This window comes from Homo sapiens, chromosome 13, assembly GCF_000001405.40.
Source record: "Homo sapiens chromosome 13, GRCh38.p14 Primary Assembly".
Lineage (NCBI taxonomy): Eukaryota > Metazoa > Chordata > Mammalia > Primates > Hominidae > Homo > Homo sapiens.
The window spans coordinates 49,506,571-49,530,657 of record NC_000013.11 but is presented as its reverse complement, the minus strand read 5'-3'; the positions used below and the strand labels follow the sequence as shown (position 1 = coordinate 49,530,657).

General features: G+C 39.8%; 2 protein-coding genes across 10 annotated transcripts in view; both read right to left on the bottom strand.

Moving 5' to 3' along the window:
• The window catches only part of SETDB2-PHF11 (SETDB2-PHF11 readthrough), an 84,703-nt gene continuing 62,297 nt past the window's right edge, over positions 1,682-24,087 (bottom strand). The window contains exons 13-21 of one of the 2 annotated variants that reach the window (NR_135324.2): positions 17,492-17,599; positions 12,507-12,640; positions 9,718-9,764; positions 8,551-8,615; positions 7,417-7,483; positions 6,442-6,573; positions 4,721-4,885; positions 4,200-4,271; positions 1,682-2,147 (exon numbers count right to left, since the gene is read on the bottom strand). Coding sequence is in view for 1 of the 2 variants with exons in the window: in NM_001320727.2 (NP_001307656.1) it covers positions 1,993-2,147; positions 4,200-4,271; positions 6,442-6,573; positions 7,417-7,483; positions 8,551-8,615; positions 9,718-9,764; positions 12,507-12,640; positions 17,492-17,599; positions 23,902-24,023 (902 nt within the window). In the remaining variant the exon portion in view is untranslated. Of the gene's footprint in view, positions 2,148-4,199; positions 4,272-4,720; positions 4,886-6,441; positions 6,574-7,416; positions 7,484-8,550; positions 8,616-9,717; positions 9,765-12,506; positions 12,641-17,491; positions 17,600-23,901; positions 24,024-24,087 lie in introns of both variants that reach the window. The other variant, NM_001320727.2, reaches the window with a different exon arrangement.
• Positions 1,682-24,087, bottom strand: part of PHF11 (PHD finger protein 11) — a 33,024-nt gene continuing 10,618 nt past the window's right edge. For 6 of the 8 annotated variants that reach the window (NM_001419874.1, NM_001419876.1, NM_001419873.1 and 3 more), the window contains 9 exons: positions 23,902-24,023; positions 17,492-17,599; positions 12,507-12,640; positions 9,718-9,764; positions 8,551-8,615; positions 7,417-7,483; positions 6,442-6,573; positions 4,200-4,271; positions 1,682-2,147 (listed from right to left, as the gene is read on the bottom strand). In NM_001419874.1, coding sequence (NP_001406803.1) covers positions 1,993-2,147; positions 4,200-4,271; positions 6,442-6,573; positions 7,417-7,483; positions 8,551-8,615; positions 9,718-9,764; positions 12,507-12,640; positions 17,492-17,599; positions 23,902-24,000 — 879 coding nt within the window. In that variant the 5' untranslated portion in view covers positions 24,001-24,023 and the 3' untranslated portion in view covers positions 1,682-1,992. Of the gene's footprint in view, positions 2,148-4,199; positions 4,272-4,720; positions 4,886-6,441; positions 6,574-7,416; positions 7,484-8,550; positions 8,616-9,717; positions 9,765-12,506; positions 12,641-17,491; positions 17,600-23,901; positions 24,024-24,087 lie in introns of all 8 variants that reach the window. The other 2 variants (NR_135323.3, NR_135322.2) reach the window with 2 other exon arrangements.

Below are 24,087 nucleotides of genomic sequence, written 5' to 3'. Positions count from 1 at the left end.
ACTTACTTGCCACTACGTAAGACGGGCCTCTTCCCTTTCCGCCACAATTGTAAGTTTCTTGAGACCTCCCCAGCCATGCGGAACTGAGTCCATTAAACCTGTTTCCTTTATAAATTACCCAGTCTCTGGTATTTCTTCATACCAGTGTGAGAACGGACTAATACAGTTAATAGGGTTAACATGACAAGCAGTTAGTTGTTCTGAAGATAACGCTTGTGTTGGATAGGGGAAAATATAAAGTGTCCTTTTAGCTCATCTCCAAAACAAAAAGAGGCACAAGAGATGGGGGCTAATGAGCCTTCCAGAGCTTATCATAATTAAGTTTGGTTAGAATGGAGAAAATAAGACAGAAATGTTAGCAAGGGGAGTGTGTGCGTGCATGGGTGTGTTTTAACATTTATTTCCCATAGTGCCAGACATTGTGCTCTCTGCTTCACATTTTACTTACTTGTCCATATTTTGTCCCATAAGGTAGGCAGCAGCATTCTCAGATTAAATAATCGGATTCAAGTTTTTCAGTAGTGACATAGCTGAAGTTCATACTCGGCTCCGCCTTATGAACCCATACTCGGGTTTGCCCAGTAGCCAGCCTCATGGCCACCAAACACATGGTGCTCCATGGTGCACAGTTACATGCTGTGTGAGTCACAGGTTAAACGTGAAAGTAAAGTGGGGGACAAAGGTTTTTTTTTTTAAATAAAGATCATGACATCAGAATGATTAGTCAGATAAACTTTGCTAAGATGGCTGGGCGTGGTGGCTCACGCCTGTAATCCCAGCACTTTGGGAGGCCGAGGCAGGCAGATCACGAGGTCAAGAGATCGAGACCATCCTGGCCAACATGGTGAAACCCCATCTCTACTAAAAATACAAAAATTAGCTGGGCATGGTGGTGCGCGCCTGTAGTCCCAGCTACTTGGGAGGCTGAGGCAGGAGAATCGCTTGAACCTAGGAGGCAGAGGTTGCAGTGAGCCGAGATCACACCACTGCACTCCAGCCTGGCAACAAAGTGAGACTCCGTCTTAAACAAAACAAAACAACAACCAAAAACTTTGCTAAGACTTAATATCAGGATAGGAAGCTGAAGCTACAGTAATCAATAATCATCTAGACTAGCGGAAATCTGTTCAGAGGGTGTTGGATGGGGTCTTCACTTCTGTAGTTTTTAAAGTGCCCCACATGATTCTGATGTGCGGCCGGATTTGAAATCCACTGGTTTAGATTTTGTCCCTAAGATATAAGAACTTAGGCTAGGGCTGCCATTACAACTGGAATGGACTGTTCTTTTTCATCTCCTGCAAATATTTTTCCAGTACTTATTTATTACATGTCAGACACCATGCTTGGAGACTCAGTTAAAACCCATTTTGAGACGCAGCATTATTGAAAATCAGAGTACCATGGTAAAAAATGAGAACTGTGAATGTTAAGTTTTCAGGGGTCAGACGTGATAGTGTGGGCATAAAAACCAGAATCGTATATTAGATTGAGAAAAATGTAACTGTCAATTTTTTTTTTCATTCTTGCATACTCCCGATAATGTTCTTATTCAGAGTCCAATTTAAAATTTAGGTGTCTGTTTTGAAGATGATGAATCTCCACGTGATAACTGTGGCTGAAAAGAGACTTTTCAAAAGCAGACTTTGTGACACGAAAACAGGCAAATTTGGTACAAGTAAAGTAGTATAATCCAAATTTATTATATCTAAGAGGCTATCATGGGCTGTAAGTAGAATCAAAGGTTAAGAACATTTTATGCACTTATTCCACAAACATTTACTGAGCATACTAGGTGCTGGGAATGTGACAGTGAGCAAAAAACACAAGAGTGTGCAAAGAGTGATCAAAATGTCAACCAGTAAGAACAGGGAAGAGCTGCTGAGGCCAAGAGGAGACGACTAGTTCTAAAGATGTGTGGATTTCACAGCCTGGTCTCTGGTTTTGAGCCTGATTGCAATTTGACATGACTCTTGGCTTAGGAAACGGTAATCCCTAATAAGACAGGGATGATATTGATGTAGAACTTGACATAAGATCTCTATTTTCTTGAAAAGAGCACAAGGTTTGTTTTAAGTCCTGAAGTAGCTCAATCTCTTCCTTCAACTGCTGCCACCTTTGTTGAGATGCATGAATTTTTTTCTCTATTGCTATGAAAAGAAGAAATAAAATTATTTCAGCTTATTCAGTAGTTTTATTAGAAATAATGTACCATTTCTAGCCCCTTTCACTTGCAGGTACAGATACACAATCCTCGTGCCTCTGGTGAAAAGGATCCAGAGCCTTATGGGCAGGAGCTGGTTTCTTTATGCCTTCACTTCCTCCTTCTAATTCAGGACAGAATTCTAACATTTATCATACACAAAGCTGTTCAGTAAACCCTTAAGATTTTGTGCACATTTATAGCAGAACAAGTCCCTTTGTATATCTTTGAGAACTTGAAAACAGTGACTGTATAACCTTCATGCTATACTATATCCATTTATTGAGAGATGATAATTGGAGAATGTGGCTAGAATACCAAGGTTAAGGACAAATCCTTCCTAAAAATGTGTCCAATTTTTAATGTTACATAAAGGCTTTTGGTTTCATTTAGAAATAGGAAGGCTTTTAATTGTGGAAACTTAGAAAAGCTTAGGAGGAAGATACTTAGGCTTTATAAATAACAAATAGTAGTCAATGGCAATGTAATTTTTAAAAGCCTCAAAATCGAACAGTTACACACATATACAAACTTTATTCAGAATAACTGCATACGTATAGTTAACTTAAAATATGAGTAAGGCTAAATTAAGCAAGTTTTTATCAACCAGGGTAGTGAAACCCAACTTAAGCCTTTTAAGTTGAATCTCATGCAGTTCTAAGTAGTGGCACCCCCGCCATACTACACTATAATATATGTACTCCCACCTAATCCATCCAAGTAGTGATGTGTGACATGTTCCCTTACATGAAAGAAAAACACACATGGAAGTCCCCTACAAAATAACTCTTTTTAGAAAAAAATTTTTAAGGCTGCTTTAAAAAAATATGGATACTGCTATATATTAGCAGACATCCTCAAAAGACTATTAAGACAGACACTCTTTTTGGTAGATTTTTCAAAGTATTTTTCCTGCTGGTTATAAATGTAGTAAAAAATTCAAATAGAAATGTATAATATAGAAGCCAAAATGAGAAAGGTTGTGTATGTTGAGACAGGGATATGAACTAATGATTTCTTCACAGGGAAATCTTATTGTCTTCCTACCATATGCTGGAGAGACAGATGCATCTGTGGAAATGCAGAGTGTGGAGGGCACTCACTCTGTTGTGCAACTTCAGGGGGAGCCATCCACCAATGCTGTTTGACTCTGTGCCCGGCCTGCCCAGCTGTGTGTGGCAGCCTTGATAGAGAAGTCAGACCAGACTCATAAACAAGTGGAGGTGTAGCCTGTCTTGAGGGCATCTTAATGCTGAAAGGAGGACTCACTCAATAAATGGTTGATATTTAATAGGAAGGTTAAATCTCCCTCCTCCAAACCAAACGAGATTTTCTACTGCAAACATTTCTTGGCTATTCTTACTTGCTCATTTTTTGTTTGTTTGTTTTTGTTTTTTTTTTTTCTGATGAACTTTAAATCAGTCGTAACCCTCCCTGATAAGAAATTAAATTAGATTTGAGGATTAATAGTGGGAGAATTAAAATTTTGACCTATCTCACCAAGCGAGAGGGAGGCAAGCGGAGGGATGGTTTATCATAGCCTCGCCACCCAAGAGCAGAGAAGCCGCAGGAAGCTTTACCAGCTCCTGCCTGGGCCACACACAGGCCAAAATATGCTCCAATTTTTGAATCAATTTTTTGTTGTCTCTACTTTTTTAATGAGTTTTTCTCATTATAAAAGTATTTGTGTGTATATAGAAAATCTGGAAAATATAGCAGTAAAAGAACAGACAAAAATCACTATATTCCAACTACCTACAACCAACTACTGTCTCCACCAGGTGCAGCTTTTGTCTGTGCACATGTACCTCGATATTTTTTTCCTGTGTGTGTGGGCAGGTGGGCGGGGTCATACTGTTTTTGTAATTGGCTTTTCTCATTTAAGAAAACAATGAACATTCTTCTAAAATATTTTTATCACCTGTACAGTATATTGTTTCAATATCGTGATAAATATTTCTCAAAACTATGCTGCTCAGATGTTATATAACTCATATACCTGCTTGAAAATTTACAAATGTGTCTTCGAACAATCTACAGTCAAAAAGTGCACTCCCGATTTCTTCATAGTCTGGAGGGAGAGAAACATTTTCAATATTAAACAGTTTGTATAGGCAGAAACTCCTCCATTTATATATGTAATCCAAAACAGGGGAAAGGAAAGAGAGCAGTCATGTGCCATGGAACTTTAATGTTAGATGGCAACAGCAGCAGCAGCACTACAGGGAAGCTGTCAGAAATGTAATTCTTGGCATTTCTCTTTTTTCTTTTTTTTTTTTTTTTTTTTTTGAGACAGAATCTCACCCTGTTGCCCAGACTGGAGTGCAGTGGTGCGATCTTGGCTCACTGCAACCTCTGCCTCCTGGGTTCAAGCGATTCTCATGTCTCAGCCTCCCAAGTAGTTGGGATTGCAGGCGCGCACCGCCACGCCCGGCTAATTTTTGTATTTTTAGTAGAGACAGGGTTTTGCCATGTTGGCCAGGCTGGTCTCGAACTGCTGACCACAGATGATCCACTCACCTCGGGCTCCCAAAGTGCTGGGATTACAGGCGTGAGCCACCGCGCCTGGCCCCCAATTCTTGGTATTTGTACTGAATCAGAATCTCTGTGGGATAGGCCCAGCTATCTGTGTCCTCACCAGCCCTACAGGTGGTTCTCAGGCACACTGTTTGGGAAGTGCTTGGTCTAGAGGAAATAAATGAATAAAATAGTATAATAAATGAGCTTTTGGAAATGCTTACTATTTATTTCACTTTTTGGTTTTGCCCTATAGAAAATAATCCCATTCAAATAAACATTTTTTATATTGTTGCCTACAATATAAGCTGTCCAGCTTGTCCTTGTAAAATAACTATATTTATAATAAAGGTTTTAAACTCATGGGATATAAGTTATAAGAAAGCTAAGTAAGGCTGGGCACAGTGACTCACACCTGTAATCCCCGCACTTTGGGAGGCCAAGGCGGGCAGATCACATGAGATCAGGAGTTCAAGACCAGCCTGGCCAACATGGTGAAACTCCATCTCTACTAAAAATACAAAAATTAGCCGAGTGTGTTGGCACATGTCTGTAATCTTAGCTACTCTGGAGACTAAGGCAAGAGAATCACTTAAACCCTGGAGGCAGAGGTTGCAATGAGCTGAGATCATGCCACTGCACTTCAGCCTGGGAGAGAGAGCGAGACTCTGCCTCAAAAACAAACAAACAAAAAGCTAAGTAGCTATATACCTGCACATACAAATGGAACTTTGACTTCCCAAAGAGCCCTTAAGAAAGAAACTTCTTTAACAAAGTACATCTTTAAACCAAACATCAGTCAAAACATTAAAATTCCTTCTTCTATACTTTAAAGTTTGAGTTAACCTTATTTAAAAAAGGACACTTGGCTTATTAAGGAATAGAATTGGATTCCAAAATCAAAACTGTAACATAACACTGTTCTCAGATCTTAGCAACAGGAATGCAGGGCGGTGGCAGGGGAGCATATGTGACCGAATCAATCTCTGAATGGCACATTCTCTTAGTGGCCAACCTGTTAGACACCTCTGGAAAATGTACCACAACTCTCAGGGCATGAGGTTACTTTTGACTAAATTACTGAGTTTGTAAATTACCCACATCCTGTTGATTTATGAAGGATAGTAGATCTGGTCCAATTATTTTATTAAAGAATGAGGTAAAGGGCCAGGCATGGTGGCTCATGCCTGTAATCCAAGCACTTTGGGAGGCCGAGGTGGACGGATCACCTGAGGTCAGGAGTTCAAGACCAGCCTGGCCAACATGGTGAAACCTTGTCTCTACTAAAAATACAGAAAATTAGCCAGGCGTAGTGGCGTGTGCCTGAAATCCCAGCTACTCAGGAGGCTGAGACAGGAAAATCGCTTGAACTTGGGAGGCAGAGGCTGCAGTGAGGCAAGATCGCACCACTGCACTCTAGCCTGGGCAACAAGGGCGAAACTCCGTCTTAAAAAAAAAAAAAAGAATGAGGTAAAGGTAAAGAATGACAAGCTGGACAGCTTATATTGTAGGCAACAATATAAAAAATGTTTATTTGAATGGGATTATTTTCTATAGGGCAAAACCAAAAAGTGAAATAAATAGTAAGCATTTCCAAAAGCTGATAGAAGAAAAAAGTAGTATAGGAAGAAAATGGGCCTTTTTTTTTTTCTTGGGTTTGTTTTGTTTTAAATCTAGATCTGGGAGAAGTCTCTATACTTCGAAATATTGCTCTTCATCAGTACCTGATTCTGAAGTAGTCTCATCCATGAGTTTTTCTGGAATTGAATGAACTTTGTCTAATATTTCTTCAAGTAAGTAATTAAGAAGTCCTGCTTCCTTGCATTTCTTAAGAAAAGGAACTTTCACAGTTGCATCTAAGAATAAGACAAACATTTGAGAAGGAAATAGTCTTAGGGCAGCTAATCATAAATTACTTTATGCTTATTTCTTCAGACCTTGCCTAGTGGTGGATGCACATACTTAGTAAAATAATACAGCACCTTCACCCTTTTTATTAATTATAATTTCATCATACCTCATTTTTTTTGGCCAGCTGAAACAATGAATAAAATGTTACAAAAAGTAAAAATGAAAATTTCTCTGCTTACAATAACTATATGAATTAAGAGGCTTTTTTAAACATATAAAACTGTAACTTTTTAAATTTCAATACCTTTTGGGGAACAGGTGGTTTCAGGTTACATGGATAAGTTCTTCAGTGGTGATTTCTGAGATGTTGGTGCACCTGTCACCTGAGCAGTGTACACTGTACCCGATATGTAGTTGAATTAAGAGGATTTTTAAAAATTACCCTTAAGTCTTTGACATAACAGCCCCTGTCACTTCTTGTCACAGTTTGTATGTGTTGTTAGTGGAATGTCTATTTCTTTAAAGAACAGAGAACTACAGTTACAGGGGTCACAGTGTGAGGGGTGACACATTGCTGGATTCTGAGCTCAGGCAAGCCTGTCTGTGTCTTTATTAATAGAAGTCTATCTTTTCTTAATACTGAATGCAATGGACCATTCCAACCTAAGTTATCTTGATATGCTGGGATTACAATAGAGTGGACAGTTGCGATAAAGATTTATACTCATTAATTACCACAAGCCTAGAAGAATAAAGATTTAGGCGGGATACCAAGTTTGAAACAGGTGGGTTGACATTTTTATAAGTATTGTAGGCCATATTTGTTACAGACAACACTTAGCGCAAACCTGTGTGTCTGCCATGCTCTTCTTTCACTTGTCTTATGAATGTATTACATTTCATTGTTTCGGGTGGCTAGGAGAGAAAATCAAGATTGCATTACATTGATTTTAATATTGCATAAAATGAAAACCAGTCTTTTGCTGTGCATAACTAAATGATATGCCTACAGTAAAAATCATGCCCTGGCTGGGCGCGGTGTCTCACGCCTGTAATCTCAGCACTTTGGGAGGGCAAGATGGGCAGATCACAAGGTCAGGAGTTCGAGACCAGCCTGGACAACAGGGTGAAACCTTGTTGCTACTAAAAATACAAAAATTAGCCAGGCGTGGTGGTGCATGCCTGTAATCCCAGCTACTCAGGAGGCTGGGGCAGGAGAATCACTTGAATCCAGGAGGCAGAGGTTGCAGTGAGCTTAGATCACACCATTGCACTCCATCCTGGGTGACAGAGAGAGACTCTGTCTCAAAAAAAAAAAAAAACAAAAAAACCCCATATTCATATTTAGATGTAAACATCAAATATATTTTTGTTTTGTATTATAAAACATTAAGAGGTGTTTGACAAGCACCCCTTGTATAAACAGGAGGAGGTGAAGGTTGCTGGCGCATATGAATTTAGCTTATATGTGCTGATGTGTAAAAACTCAAATCCCCAAAATATTTTCATACATTTTATACATAATCCAGAAATTTATAAGAGCTACAGATTTGGTCAGGTGTGGGTCATGCAGCTGGGAAATACTTGGCTCCATAAGGATGTTTGACTGCACCCTCTGCCCGTTTTAACTGTAAGCACCTGTGGGGTCAGATGCTCTCACTAGTTTGGTGCCAGGGAATTTATAGGAGCTCGGAGAATGTCACCTCCTGAAGGTTATGTGCTTGGAACTTCCAGCTTCATTTTCATGCTCATCTCATCATGATTCTATCATCTAGGAATTATCTAAGAGCTTCCCGACTATGGGATTCTTCCTAAAAAGGCAACCTCAGGAGCAGCCTTAGCTGAGAACACAAATGAAGAATGTTCTTCAAAGGCTCTCTGTTTGGACGATTTGGAAAGTACCTTTCACCTGACATTCAGACTGGTTTAAATAAGGACTCTGTATGAAGAAATGCAAAGCTATAAAAACTAAGTCAAATTACCTGTACATGATTGCCTGAGAGGGGTTTCTTCCTTCCTCTTTTTCTTTTCACTCCTGAAAATTTAGCTAAAAATATAAACCATTTAAAAATTGGAATCCATAAAGGAAAAGATTACTGTTTGACTACATGAAATATACAACTCATATGCCAAAAGTTTTTACAAAGTCAAAAGATATGGCAAACTTCAACTAAGTGTTTGCAGCACTTATGATAAAGGGTTAATTTTTAAAAAAGATATTATAAGTTTAATGCAAAACAGGTAAATAATTGAGTAGAAAAATTGGCACATGGGGAACTCTCTGGGGAGAGGGTTCATTGAATAGAAAAATGAACAAATTGGGTCATAGGAAAACAAATATAATTGGTGAAAAGATATGGGAATGCACTCAATTTCACTCAGAAGATATTCAAAGTAAAACAGACTAATAAGGATGAAGATATTTAATAGATGACATTTGCAAGGATTTGGTTAAGTGTGTATTGCTGGTGCTTTTCCCTGTCAATAAACACTGATTTAAAGAAGTATCTGTAATAGCCTTTCCTGCTGAGTTAAAAGGGTAACGACTGAAAAATGATTGTAGAGGTGCTATTTGGAGAATGTTATCACCATAAAATGCAGTTGGCATGACGCAGAACGAAGTCTTCCAACGAGGTCCTGACTCCACTTCACAATGAACATTGCAGATGTAGTGCTGCTAAGACACTGCTGTTCCACTCATGAATGAAAGTATACCCCATGACTCCAGTTAGCCAGGATCCAGTCTGCCTTAATTAGAACTGAAATGCTAACCATGCATCCTTAGGGAATTTTCACTCAGGGAAGGTGCAGCACTTTTAAAATTTTATCTACTGAAAATTCTTATGGAAGAGAAGCAGTCCCAAAAGTCAAGGCTTTTTCCCATGTCTTAGTTTGGTTCTGTGAGCGTAGGGAGAATGAAAGATACCAGGGAATGGTTCAAAGAGAATAGGTCTTGTTCATAAAGAAGAAAAAATTAGTCAGTCATATCACATAGTACACAAAGAAGTTGTCAATTTTCTAGATGTGTAAAATTTTAACTCAAACATTTGTATTTTAATTCAACGAGGCTAGAAAATTAGACTATTCCTTATGTTACATAAATGTTTACCTTTCTTTAAAACCCACAGTGCTAAATTTTAGAAACTTACCACTTTGAGCGATGATCGGGAATTGAGCATGTTGCTGGCAAAGCAGTCTGAAATATTTAATTTCAAAGAATTGTAAAATATTTTTATTTACAGGTTTCAAATATTATGTCTATTTTTGTGATTAAAAACGTACCAACCTACTTTTCATGACGGCGTCACACTAAAGTTTTTTTTTTTGAAGCCCTGTGTAAAATTAGTGACCCACACTGAGTGCAGATGGAGACTCAGTTAGATGTCTTTTATGCCCTCAGGGACTTAGGAAGATGATTATGTTCTTTCAAGGAATGAGTACTGATGAAGTATTATGAACAATACTAGTTCATATACAGTGGTCAGTGAGATTTTACTGTATAAAGATACCTAAAGATCCACAATCTAAGACATGCAGATTTCCATCTGACTGTACAAGATTCTGCTGGTTTTCAACAATAAATAGCACAAAATTGCAAGCATTAATTTAAGGAAAAAGTCATTTTCGATGAAAACAGGTATTTGCCCCAGATCTTAGATTTGACCTACAAAGGGCCTAGAACTGATTAGTATCTTCCAAGAGAAAGCAGCAGCATAGCAGGCTATGATGAAGAAATGAAGTGAGGCCGGGCACGGTGGCTCATGCCTGTAATCCCAGCATTTTGGGAGGCCGAGGCGGGCAGATCACGAGGTCAAGAGATGGAGACCCTCCTGGCCAACATGGTGAAACCCCGCCTCTACTAAAAATACAAAAATTAGCTGGGCATGGTGGCACGTGCCTGTAGACCCAGCTACTCAGGAGGCTGAGGCAGGAGAATCGCTTGAACCCAGGAGGCTGGAAGTTGCAGTGAGCTGAGATCGCACCATTGCAGTCCAGCCTGGGCCACAGAGCAAGACTCTGTCTTAAAACAAAACAAAACAAAAGAAATGAAGTGAATCGTTTTATAGAGCTGCTCAGGCCACTTTCTAACCTTTCCTCCTCCTCGGCACCCAGCTTCATCTCCCTTCCTCTTCAGATGGCGCTGACTCTCAGGAAGCAGTGGCCTCCTTGCCTAGGGGAATACCGTTTCTTCCCATCTTATACCAGTTCCCACCTCCTCCATGCAGTCTTCCCAGCAACACCCAAACAAAGTTAATCTCATCCCACTTTGATTCTGGTATCTCTGAGCACTTTCACTTCCCAAGTACTTAAATTTTTTCAAACATATAAAACAGTGTTGAAAATATCAGGATGAACCCCCATGTCCCCATCCATTCCACAGTGTCAACAATTCTCAAGGCCAAGCTCCTTTCATGTAACCCCTCCTGCTCTCGTTATCCCATGTGCTTCTGTTTGCATTGACCCTTCTTCTGGCCTTCCCACCAGGTGATAACTTCTCTGAGGTTCAATCTATATTTTATTCTTTGTATCTCGTAGCACCTAGCAAGGTGCCTCATGTATGATAGGCATGAAGGTTTAAATTCAGTTTAAAAATGCGTAAAAATTCACCTGTTCCTTGATAAAACAATGCAAGAAGACTGTTTTATTGAGTCCCTATTTGTTAGTTCTTCTAATGGGTGTGATCAGTATATTTTTTCAAACTTTAAGCTATAGCAGGGACATTCCTTTTCATTTGATCTTGTGTTTAAGGTCATTGTAAAGGTCATACTAAAACGAGCTCTTTGGTAAGGTAAATAATAAAAATGAAACTCTGAGACTATAACAACCTGTGAGTTTCTTAGTGAATCAAATATAAAAAGAAGTGCAGTACGAAATTTACATATTTACACATTTCATGTCTGATTAGCAACAAAATACTTACGGAACTTGCTCGAAATCAGATTTAAAATTATTTAGCCCGGGCGCGGTGGCTCACGCCTGTAATCCCAGCACTTTGGGAGGCCGAGGCGGGCGGATCACGAGGTCAGGAGATTGAGACCATCCTGGCTAACACGGTGAAACCCCGTCTCTACTAAAAATACAAAAAATTAGCCGGGCGTGGTAGCGGGCGCCTGTAGTCCCAGCTACTCGGGAGGCTGAGGCAGGAGAATGGCGTGAACCCGGGAGGCGGAGCTTGCAGTGAGCCGAGATCGCGCCACTGCACTCCAGCCTGGGCGACAGAGCGAGACTCTGTCTCAAAAAAAAAAAAAAAAAAATTATTTAGCAAGCTTCTTTCAATGGTAGGCTTGCCCTCTTGTTTTAGAATATATAGTCCCCATACCTGAAGACAACAAGGTGGCAAAGAGCGAGGACTTGGAAGTCCTGCAGCCCAGCTCTGCCACTGACCAGCTGTGTAACCTGGGGACAAGTCACTGAGTGTCTCAAGGCCCCAGTTTCCTCCTCTGGAAAATGGAGATAATAGTATCTACCTCAGTTGACTATTATGAGGATTAAATGAGTTAACATTTGTAAAGCACTTAGAACTATGCCTGGCATAAAGCAAGTGGTTATTAAATAAATAAATAAAATAGTGCCTGGAACACTATGGGAAAATTAGGAATATATGCCCACTGGCAGGAAAAACATCAGCCTCTGAATGGAATTTTTAAAAATCATCTTACGAATGTAACATAGCTCACAAAAATCATATTTAAAAAAACATGCTGTCCTAACATTGATCTCATTATTCAAGATATTGTGACTAAAATAATATATATATATATATAGATTTTTCACTGAAATTCAAAATTCACATAACCCCTGTGCATCCCCCAAACTGGCTTTGTTCTCATTTGAAAACCATTTACATAAAATTAGTCTTCAAAGTCTCCTTGTCTTAATCCAACCATTCCTTATCCCAATCCCCCAAATGTGGTTTTAAAAATGTTTTATTAAATACTTATAAATTCCTCGAACTCCATCAGACTGTGGAACTGCGTCGTCCTTCTTGGCACAGAAAAAGTGGTAATTCTTGTTACAGTTTTTTAAATCACATCCCACGGTGGCTCCTCTTTTATGACAAAATTTGCATTTCTACAGAAGAATAGATTTTACTGAGTAAGTACCTGTTTGTTGTTATTTGTTAAAATTCAAAGATATCATTAAATGTTATTTAAGTTCCAGAAGCCCTGCATTTTATCCTGGGCATCATCAGCAAGATTCCATCCCGTTACAAACATTAGGGTACAGTACTTATATTTGGCTGCTCATTTGGGAATTTCAGCGAAACCTCAGCTAACCGGAATGCTTGGACAGACAGTTTTGTAATGATCTGATTAAAAGCAGAAAAATGCTTTTTGTTTCAAAAAAACAGTCTCTGTCTTTTAAAAAGAATTTTCTAAAAAGCAGAGTGGGCAAACTTGTCCAGCTCCAGGCAAGGGGCCCCACTAGGGGGCCCTTTGAGACAGGCGAGATTGGTCGCTGGCTGTGCCACGGAGAGTGGTGTGATTTCTCTTTCGGACTCAGAACCTGCTGTGGGTGATAATATCTGTCTTACAGAGTTGCCATTGAGGATAATGTGAGATAAAGTAAGGGAATCTAGGTAGTAGGGCCAAAAATTTTTAAAAATTCTACAACTCTATTAACAGTTTTTTCTTGGTTCAATTTATTTGATCCCTGGCTTGTATTTATCTATCTGGTATTTTATATGTGACAGTGGTGTCATGATGGCTAGGCAGTGTGTGGCCACAGCAGCCTAACTGGTTTAGGGGAATCCAGCCAGGACCAAGGCTGATCAGCATGATACTCTGGCTGAATGACGTGGGGGCACAGTGAAATTGCCTTGCAGAACAGGAGGTCACTCACACCATAGCCCAGGGTCGGCACAAGCAAGCATAGAAACAGTTAAAGGAAATTCAAATATAGGCAAGAAATAAGGTTATGATAACGGTGGAAATTCAAATCAGAGCATACAAGAACGATCATTTAATTTGGGAGGAGGGTAACTGGCTATGTATATAGGAAAAAAATAAAGTTAGATCCCTACCTCACAATATACTCCTGAATAAGTTGTACATGGATTAAAGCTCGAACCAGATAACAATGTTAAACAAAAAACTCTTAAAGATTAGGAAATATAGGAGAAAGAAAAAAAGCGTAGTATGGAGGCAAGGAAGGCTGTCTAAGGCAGGAAGAAAACCCAGAAGCCACAAATGAAAACTCTGACAGGCTGGGCATGGTGGCCCATGCCTGTAATCCTAGTACTTTGGGAGGCTGAGGCAGGAGGATTGCTTGAGCCCAGGAGTTCGAGACCAGCTTGAGCAACACAGTGAGACCTCATCTCTACAAAAAACTTTAAAAATCAGCGGGGCATAGTGGCACACTCCTGTAGTCCCAGCTATTTGGGAGGCTGAAGCCAGAAGATGGCTTGGGGCCAGGAAATCAAGGCTGCGGTGAGCTGTGATTGCACTCCAGCCTGGGCGACAGACGGAGAATCTGTTTCAAAAACAAAAACTGACAGAACCTACTATACAAAAATTTTAAACTTCCATTTTATAGTGAGGGCATTCAAAATATTTAAAAGACAAGGAAAAGATTGAAAGAAGAATGTTTGTAGCATACTAGATAAAGTTTTAAGATTCTGATAACCTGCAGAAAAATGGTAACTGGCAAATTACAGAAGAAAAAATACAAATGGCTAATAAACATTTATTCATTTAAAAATACATGAGTATATAGTATTTATTTAGCATGCAGTAGCTATGATGTGGCAGGCATGGTTTTAGGATAAGGGAAAACAGTAGTGGACAAAGCAGAAAAGATGCCTGTCCACGTGAAGCTTACATTCTATTGGAGACAAGGTACAATGATCAAATAAAGCAAAGTTTAAAACGTCTCACAAAGTTATATACACATTATATCGAATTAAAATAGGGTGAAGTGACAGTGTCACTGGGTCCCTACTTCAGACTGGGCAGTTAGTAAAATGGGTCACCTCTAAGGAGGTGATATGGAAGCTGAGATCTGAATAATAGTAAGAGCTCCCAGATGCAAAAAGGAGGAGGAAAGACATTCTAAGCAGAGGGCCTTGGGTCTTGGCCGCAAGAATGAGCTTCCCCATTGGCAAGCTACAGCGAGGACAAGACAGATGGCCAGTGCTGTTGGAGCAGCGAAGTGGGCACAGGGAAGTCTCAGGATGATCAAAGGGGTAAGTAAGGGCTGGGTCACGTAGGACTTACATGCCAGAGTAAGGAGTTGGGTTTTATCTTTCTGCACGGGGAACATAAACTGATTAACATTATTGAAAGATCACTCAGGCTGCTGGGCTGCTGCTGGGTGGAGAACTACGGGCTGGGGTAGGGATGGCAGGAGAGACAGTCGGGCGAGTGTCAGTACTCGCTTTAGAGAACAAGATGGGTGACTCCGCTATGGTGGATTACTGACGCTGAGAGAAGTGGGTGGATGAATGCAAGATGCACCTAGGAGTTCGTGCCCATGGGCTTGGTGTTGGGCTGGGAGGTTGACGAGGAAAAGAGAGTCCTTAGACTTCTGGCTTGGGCAAATGGATAATGATAGTGCTGTTTTTATGAGCAGATTTAGATGGAGAATGTGTGTGTGTGTGTGTGTGTGTGTGTGTGTGTGTGTGTGTGTGTGTGTATAGGAGATGGAACTGTACTTTTTTGGCCACTTTACTCTGAAATGCTATTGGATGTCCATGTGGCTCTGTCAGATTGGTAGTCTGAATCCTAGGGAGGAGCCTGCTTGCTGAGGGCCCCTGCTGCTCACCCTCAAGGTACTTGCCCAGCTTACTGAAAATACCACAGCACTGGCCTGTCCCCACCCTGGGTGTGTGCCATGTATCTGCCCACATAGTCCAAGAGTTCCATAAATGCTGTGAGAGGGTAACTATTACCTCAGGTGACTTTCCTCTCTTCTCTCCTTTATCCTCCACTTCCAACCCATCCCAAAGCCTTCCCAGTAGGGAAGTCTGCATCCCAAGGTCCGCAGAAACCCTCAGGTACCTGCTTTCCCCCAAATATTATGCCTCCAATCAACTGCCCTCATTTCTCAGCCTGGGTCTCTTCATAACTGGATGGCTACTAGAATTTCACAGAGATTTCTTTAACTCTGTGTCTCCCCACTCAAATCCAATTAGTGAAGAGCAAAAAAATATTCCAGTTGAGGTCTGTCTGCTACTTTCTAATCAGTTCACCCATCTCATCACACCCAAAATCCTAGGGATGTGGCATTGTCAGCACTAATGATGTCAGCAGCCAGTCTTGCCAAGTATTAATTAGTAATAGCATAGACATTGAGAGCAGGATCCACACACTCTTTTTTTTTTTTTTTAATTTGAGACAGAGTCTCACTCTGTTGCCCAGGCTGGAGTACAGTGGTGTGATCACAGCTCACTGCAGCCTCGACTTTCCAGGCTCACCCAATCCTCCTACCTCAGCCTCCCAAGTAGCTGGGACTACAGGTATATGCCACTGTGTCGGGCTAATTTTTTTTTCTTTTTTGGTAAAGACAGGGTCCCACTATATTGCCCAGGTTGGTCTCAAATTCCTGGGCTCAAGCAGTCCTCAACTGCCTTGGCTTCCCAAAGTGCTGGGATTAGAGGCATGCAGCACCATGCCCGGGCCACACACAGTCCATTTTTATGGCTTGCTTCAGGACCTACTACAGTATTGTGTACACTGCCTAAGATAGCATAATTTGCAGAATTCCATCTGGACTGTTGCCTTTCACCCTGCACTTTCCATTTCTTCGATTAAAATGGGCATCATTTTACCTATAGCTGGGAGTTTACCTAGAGCAATGTATGTAACACACCTACCACAGGATGCTGCTGATGCTGATGCCTTGCAAAGACTAACTATACATTTGTCCCTGGTTATTAACCCTGTGGTTGTAGTCAGAATGTGAGGTGCTCACACTTGCTGTCCTGCTTGCTAAGATGTGAAGGGTCCTTGAGAGGATGTCGCTGCAATAAGCCCAGTGGAATGACTTCTCAGCATTTCTTCCTCCTTGAATAGCCCCCTTATGACCCATGAGGAGCTGACCCCTGATTAGTTATGGCCACCCCCAGCAGTTGGTGCAGAAAGAGGGGTGCAACCTAATGAAACTTTCAGAAGGGGGCTTATTCCATGTGTATGGATGACCTTTGTCTTTCACTGGGTATGAACAAGAAAGCCTGATGCTTCAGTTGCTGCCTGCGGCCACCCTATGACCACAATGGGACCAGCTGATGTTGGGGACAGGAGGCCAGAGAGGAAGAACCTGGGCCCCTGATGACATTATCAAGCCACTCAATCAACCAACTTGGAAAGCAGGTGTTTTCTCTGATCAAGTGAAAAAGTAAGTATCCTCTTTGTAAAAGTCTGTTTGACTTGAGCTTTCTTCTACTTACAGCAAAAGCATTCTAACTCAGATCACTTTACTGGTGAAGTATATGGTAGTTTATTTTAAAATATTAAATGTTGGCCGGGCGTGGTGGCTCACACCTGTAATCCCAGCACTTTGGGAAGCCAAGGCAGGCAGATCACCTGAGGTCAGGAGTTCGCGACCAGCCTGGCCAACATGGTGAAACCCTGTCTCTACTAAAAATACAAAAATTTGCCGAGCATGGTGGCCCGTGCCTGTAATCCTAGCTACTCGGGAGGCTGAGGCAGGAGAATCGCTTGAACCCAGGAGGCGGAGGTTGCAGTGAGCTGAGACCGTGTCACTGCACTCTAGCCTGGGCAACAAGAGCAAAACTCCGTCTCAAAAAAAAAAAAAAAAAAATTAAATGTTAAGTTGAATTGAGGTTTCCAATACAGTTCCTACTTCTTCCAGCTCTCCAAGATGCTTCTCTATCCCTGGTGTATCAGTCAAATAGACTCCTTTGGAATGCATTCCTTGAGGGTCTGTTCATCCAGTATAAGAAATAACATCATTTACACTTACCAACTTCCTTCCTCTCTGGATTTCTTTCTTTACTGATTCCACATCAAAACTTCTATCAGGATTAAGTGGATCCTGATCCTCACATTCCACAAGTCCTGAAGAATACAGCTGCAGATTGGAAAAAAAAATCCAGAGTATGCACAAAGTAATATTGAAAGCTACATGTCAGAAAATCATACCAAAAGTGGAAAATCAAACCAGGAGTGGGAAATGGACTGGGGGTAAAACAGTGGCAACTTTGGGGGTGGATGAGCAGACCATAAGCCATCCCATTTCTCTGGGAATGACCCTGGTTTCCGGGCATGTTTTATACTTTGTAATCCTGACCTCTAATAACTCATTGACCTGGGTGGAACCCTGATGCCAAGCTGGGTCAGTCTGATCCCCTATCCTAAAAGTGTGGAATGGGCTTTGAGCAATAGCTGAAGCCACGTGGTTAGAGCAAGTCAGTCTGCAAAGAAAGAAAAACAAGGGCTAGAAAGAGGACATTCTAGGTTCCCAATGGCTTTCTAGCTGTTTCTTACACCCACCTGCATGCCTGCCTTTAGGAAACATGAAATGCCCCCAAAACCTTATCATAAACCCTCTTTTATGTTTAGGCTGGCTCAAGTCTCTATGTGCTACTTGAAACCAGAAGACTCCAAATCTGAATTGAAGATCAATGTTTCACATATTACACTCAAATAACAAAAGGGCATGAGAAACATAAGAGTAAATTTTGGTGACATTGGCATAGGCGAAGATTTCTTATAAAAATCAGAAAGCATAAAGAAAAAGTAAGTTGGATTCCATCAAAATAAAAATTGTCTTTGAAAGACATTGCTAAGAAAACAAAGAGGCAAGCCAGAGACTGGGAGAAAATATTCACAATACATATCTCTGACAAAAGACTTGTATCCAGATTTTAGAAAACACTTACAACTCAATAATAAGACAATTCAATTAAAAGTGGGCACAAAATTTGAATAGACACTTCATGAAAGAAGGTTTATGAATGGCAAATGAGCACATGAGAAGATGCTCAATATCATTAACCCTTAGGCATATTAAAGCCATAGTGAGATGCAATATATATCTACTAGACTGCCTAAAATAACAAGACCCAGTGTTGATGAGGATGTGGAGCAAATGAAATTCTTACATATTATTGGTAGAAATGTAAAATAATGCAATCACTTTTAAGGTTAAACATACACTAACTTTATGACTCAGTAATTCTACTTCTAGCTATTTACCCAAGACAAACATAACCAAACAAGAAAAGGAGACTGAGTGCCCCAAATTAAAATTGTCCTTATTTAAAGATGAGGATTGTCCACATACAATATATCCAGGTAAATCTAGAGACTTTTTAGAACTGATAAGAGTTTGGTAAGGTTGCTGGATGAGACCAATAAATAAAAATCAATAGTGTTCATATATACTGATAATAGCTCATTTAAAAATACTTTAGAAAAAAGTAACAAAACAAAACAAAAAACAAGCCCAGAATATGCCTAACCCCAAGTTCTATACCTCTACAGATAAAAATTACTGAATAGCCGGGTGCGGTGGCTCACGCCTGTAATCCCAACACTTTGGGAGACCAAGGCAGGTGGATCACCTGAGGTCAGGAGATCGAGACCAGTCAGGCCAACATGGTGAAACCCCATCCCTACTAAAAATACAAAAAATTAGCTGGGCATGGTGGCAGGTGCCTGTAATCCCAGCTACTCGCGAGGCTGAGGCAGGAGAACTGCTTGAACCTGTGAGGCGGAGGGTGCAGTGAGCCGAGATCGCGCCATCACACTCCAGCCTGGGCAAAAAAAGCGAAACTCCGTCTCAAAAAAAAAAAAAAAAGCCATTGAACAATTTTGAAATTATGAAAGGCCTAAATAAAGACACAAAGACTCATATACAGATGCTTATAGCTGATTTTTATCATAAGAGCTCCAAACTGGAAATAACACATGTCTACCAACAGATGAATGAATAAGCAAATTGTGATACATGCATACCAATTAAGTACTGTGAAGAATGATAAAGGAACAAGATACAGATACATGCAACATAGATGCATCTAAAACAGTATGCTGAGCAAAGGAAGTGACACAAAGGAGGACAACTATAGGATTCCTTTCATATGAAATCTGAGAAAAGATAAGACAAATCTACAGGGACTTGGGGTAGGAAGGAATTGATTGCACAGAACATTGAGGAAACCCTTTGGGGTAATGGAAATGTTTATATCTTGATGGTGGTAGTGGTTGCATGGGTCTCAACATGTCTCAAAACTTTCTGAATTGGACACTTAAAATGGGTACATTTGATTTTATGTAAATTATGCCAATAAAGTTAACTAAAAAATAGTAGCAAATCAACATCAACAGTATATTAGAATAAAAACATCACGATTGGGCTGGGAGCGGTAGCTCACGCCTCTAATCCCAACACTTTGGGAGGCTGAGACAGGAGAATCACTTGAGGCCAGGAGTTCGAGATGAGCCTGAGCAACATAGTGGGACCCCCATTTCTACAAAAAGATAAATAAAAAATTAGCTGGGTATGGTGGTACGTGCTTGTAGTCCAAGCTGAGGTGGGAGAATTGCTTAAGCCCAGGAGTTCAAGGCTGCAGTGAGCTATGATTATGCCACTCCATTCCAGCCTGGGGAGACCTTGTCTCAAATAAATAAGTAAAAATAAAACATCACCATTAAATGGTGTTAATCTAAGAATGGTTTCACAGCAGAAAAAATATATAAGTAAAACACACATTACTAACAGAATAAAATGAAAAAACTTAAGACATGATAACCAAATGCAACCCATGAGCTAAAATCTTTTGTTATAAAAAATGTTATTAGGCCAGGTATGGTGGCTCACACCTGTAATTCCAGCATTTGGGAGGCTGAGGTGGGAGGATTGCTTGAGCCCAGGGGTTGGATACCAACCTGGGCAACATGGCAAAACCCCATCTCTACAAAAAGTACAAAACATTAGCTGGGCACAGTGGCACATGCCTATAGTCCCAGCTACTCTGGAGGCTGAGATGGGAGAATCACTTGAGCCCAGGAGGTCAAAGTTGCAGTGAGGCATGATGGTGCCACTGCACTCTAGCCCTGGGCAACAGAGTGAGACCTTGTCTCAAAAAAAAAGCACACACACACACACACACGTTATTAGTACAACAGGTGAAACCTCAGTGGTTTGAGGAATAGACGGTAGTAGTATAACAAAATTTCCTGATTTTGACGTTTATATTGTTATAGTGTGAGAGAGAATGTCCTTGTGTATTAGTCAGTTCTCACACTGCTAATAAAGACATACGCAAGACTGGGTAATTTATAAAGAAAAAGAGGTTTAATGGACTCACAATTCCACATGGCTGGAGAGGCCTCACAATCACGGAAGAAGGTAAGGGGGAGCAAAGTCATGTTTTACATGGCAGCAGGCAAGAGAGATTTTTGGGGAACTCCTCTTTATAAAACCATCAGATTTCATGAGATTTATTCACTATCACTATCATGTGAATGGCCTGGGAAAAACCTGCTCCCATGATTCACTTATCTCCACCTGGCTCCACCCTTGACACGTGGGGATTATTACAATTCAAGGTGAGATTTGGGTGGGGACACAGCCAAAGCATATCACCTTATTTGTAGAAAATACATACTAAAGGCTGGGCACAGTGACTCATGCCTGTAATCCCAGAACTTTGGGAGGCTGAGGTGGGTGGATCACGAGGTCAAGAGATCAAGACCATCTTGGCTAACACGTGAAACCCCATCTCTACCACAAATACAAAAAATTAGCTGGGCGTGGTGGCATGTGCCTGTAATCCCAGCTACTTGGGAGGCTGAGGCAGGAGAATCGCTTGAACCTGGGAAGTGGAGGTTGCAGTGAGCCAAGATCACACCATTGCACTCCAGCCTGGGGCGACAGAGCAAGACTCTGTCTCAAAAAAAAAAAAAAATCATACTAAAGTATTCAGGATAGATTGCATATCATTTAATTTAAAATGGTTCTGACCAAAAAAAGTTCTTTGTACTGTATATGCAACTTTTCCATAAATTTGTAATTTAAAATAAACATCAAATTATGTATATAAAAAAGTGAAATAAAATAAAGCATTTAGCACTGTTTGTGGCCAGAGAGAGAAAAAGAACCCGGATCATTTCAATAGATGCAGAACAAGCATTTAGTAATATTCAATACGCTATAATTTTTAGCAAATTAGAGATAAAGGTAACTTCCTTATTTTAATTAAATGAAATCATTAAGAATGTAAAACATACACAAATTTAATGATAAGATTTTTGGAGCATCCCATTAATATCAGAAGCAAGACAGGGCTTCCAAATTTAATTGCTTGTAATCACCGCTATAATTGAATGTTCTGGAAAAACACAAGAAAAAGAGATTAAGAGTCCCCCGAATTAAAGGTAAGTAAATAAAATTGTTCTTATTTAAAGATGAGGATTGTCCACATACAATATATCCAGGTAAATCTAGAGAAGTTTTAGAACTAATAAGACTTTGGTAAGGTTGCTGGATGAGATCAATAAATAAAAATAAATAGTGTTTATATATACTGATAATAGTTCATTTAAAAAGCTTTTAGAAAAAAGTAACAAAACAAAACAAAACAAAAAACTTGCCCAGGAATATGCCCAACCCCAAGTTCTATATGACTACAGATAAAAATTATTTAACAGTTTTGAAATTTATAAAAGACCTAAATAATTGGAGAGACAGACTCTGTTAATGGATGGGAAAAAAAAGACACATTCATATATTATAATATATAATATAGTAATATATTATATATGAATATATGAATATAGTAATATATGAATATAGTAATATATTATATAAAATGCATATTATTTATATTTATATAATATATAATTAATATATTAATACATAACACATTAATAATATATTAATACATAACACAATAATATATTAATACATAACACATTAATAATATATTAATACATACTGCATTAATAATATATTAATACATATAATATATGAATGCATCTTTTTCCCATCCATTAACAGGTTTTGTCTCTCTAATTATTTATATTAATTATTTATAATATATTATAATATATGAATGTGTCTATTTTTTTCCCAAATTCATCTATAAATGCAATGCAATTCCAATCAAAATTCCAAAAGGTATTTTGGTCAAACATGAAAAGCTGATCCACAAATTCAAAGTGCCAAAATAAAAGCCAAGGCTAGTAATAAAGCCATAGTGCAGTCGTCCCTCAGTGTCTGCAGGGGATTGGTTCCAGGAACCCCCAAGGCTACCAAAATCCGTGAATGCTCAGTTCCCTTATCTAAAAGGCATAGCATTTTCATATAACCTACACACATCCTCCTGTATAGTACCCATAAACCATTCTGTTTTTCACTTTCTATACAGTATTCAATAAATTTTATGAGATATTCAAGACTTTGTTATAAAACAGGCATTGCATTAGATGATGTGCCCAACTGTGGGCTAACGTAAGTGTCCTGAACATGTTTAAGGTGAGCTAGACTAAGCTATGATGTTTGGTAAGTTAGGTGTATTAAATGGTACAATCTCTTTGAAGAACAATTTGGTGTATTTAGTCAAGTACAAAACACCCCATTCCTGTGCCTAACAATTCTGCTCTTAGCTGTATAGCCTAGACTAGGGAAATTCTCACATGAGAAGGAGACCTAGACAAGAATGTTCATGACGACTTGTTAGTCATAGAAAACAATACTGGAAAAACTAAATGCCCATTCACAGAACAGTTAATGGTAATATAGTCATGAAATCGAACATCATATTTAAAATGAAGGACTTAGAGCTATGTTTACCAACATGGATAAATCTCAGAATTCTGTAGACTTTGATAGAAATTATACCTGGGTAGAAGGTCTATCAGTGTCTGTTATATTTTAAATCTGAAACAGTTCAAAGTCAGAAAAATATGCTCCCCAGGCCCGGGCGTGGTGGCTCACACCTGTAATCCCAGCACTTTGGGAGGCCGAGGTGGGCAGATCACGAGGTCAGGAGATCGAGATCATCCTGGCTAACACGGTGAAACCCCATCTCTACTAAAAATACAAAAAAAATTAGCCTGGCATGGTGGCGGGCACCTGTAGTCCCAGCTACTCGGGAGGCTGAGGCAGGAGAATGGCGTGAACCCGGGAAGCGGAGCTTGCAGTGATTCAAGATTGCGCCACCACACTCCAGCCTGGGTGACAGAGTGAAACTCCGTCTCAAAAAAAAAAAAAAAAAAAAAAAGAAATGCTCCCCAATCTTCACCTAAAAGCTCAAACCATGGCCAACTTGTTATTCTTTGTGTCCAAAGTGTTGTTTATCTATTCTTATGTGTCCTACACTAAAAGTACTCATGTACTTTGAAGTATGTTTTCAAGTAACTTACCAAACAATTCTCATGAGCAGCTATATTCTCTGATTGTGCAAAGTATAGGACATTATATTCGACATCTTTGGGGCAGAGTGCACATGTCCTTTTTTCCATCTTTTCTGCAACCTGAAAGACACCTATAAGTAATATCCCTGGTGAGAAATGGAAAAGTGGAATTTCTTGGTCTCACTAACTCCTCTT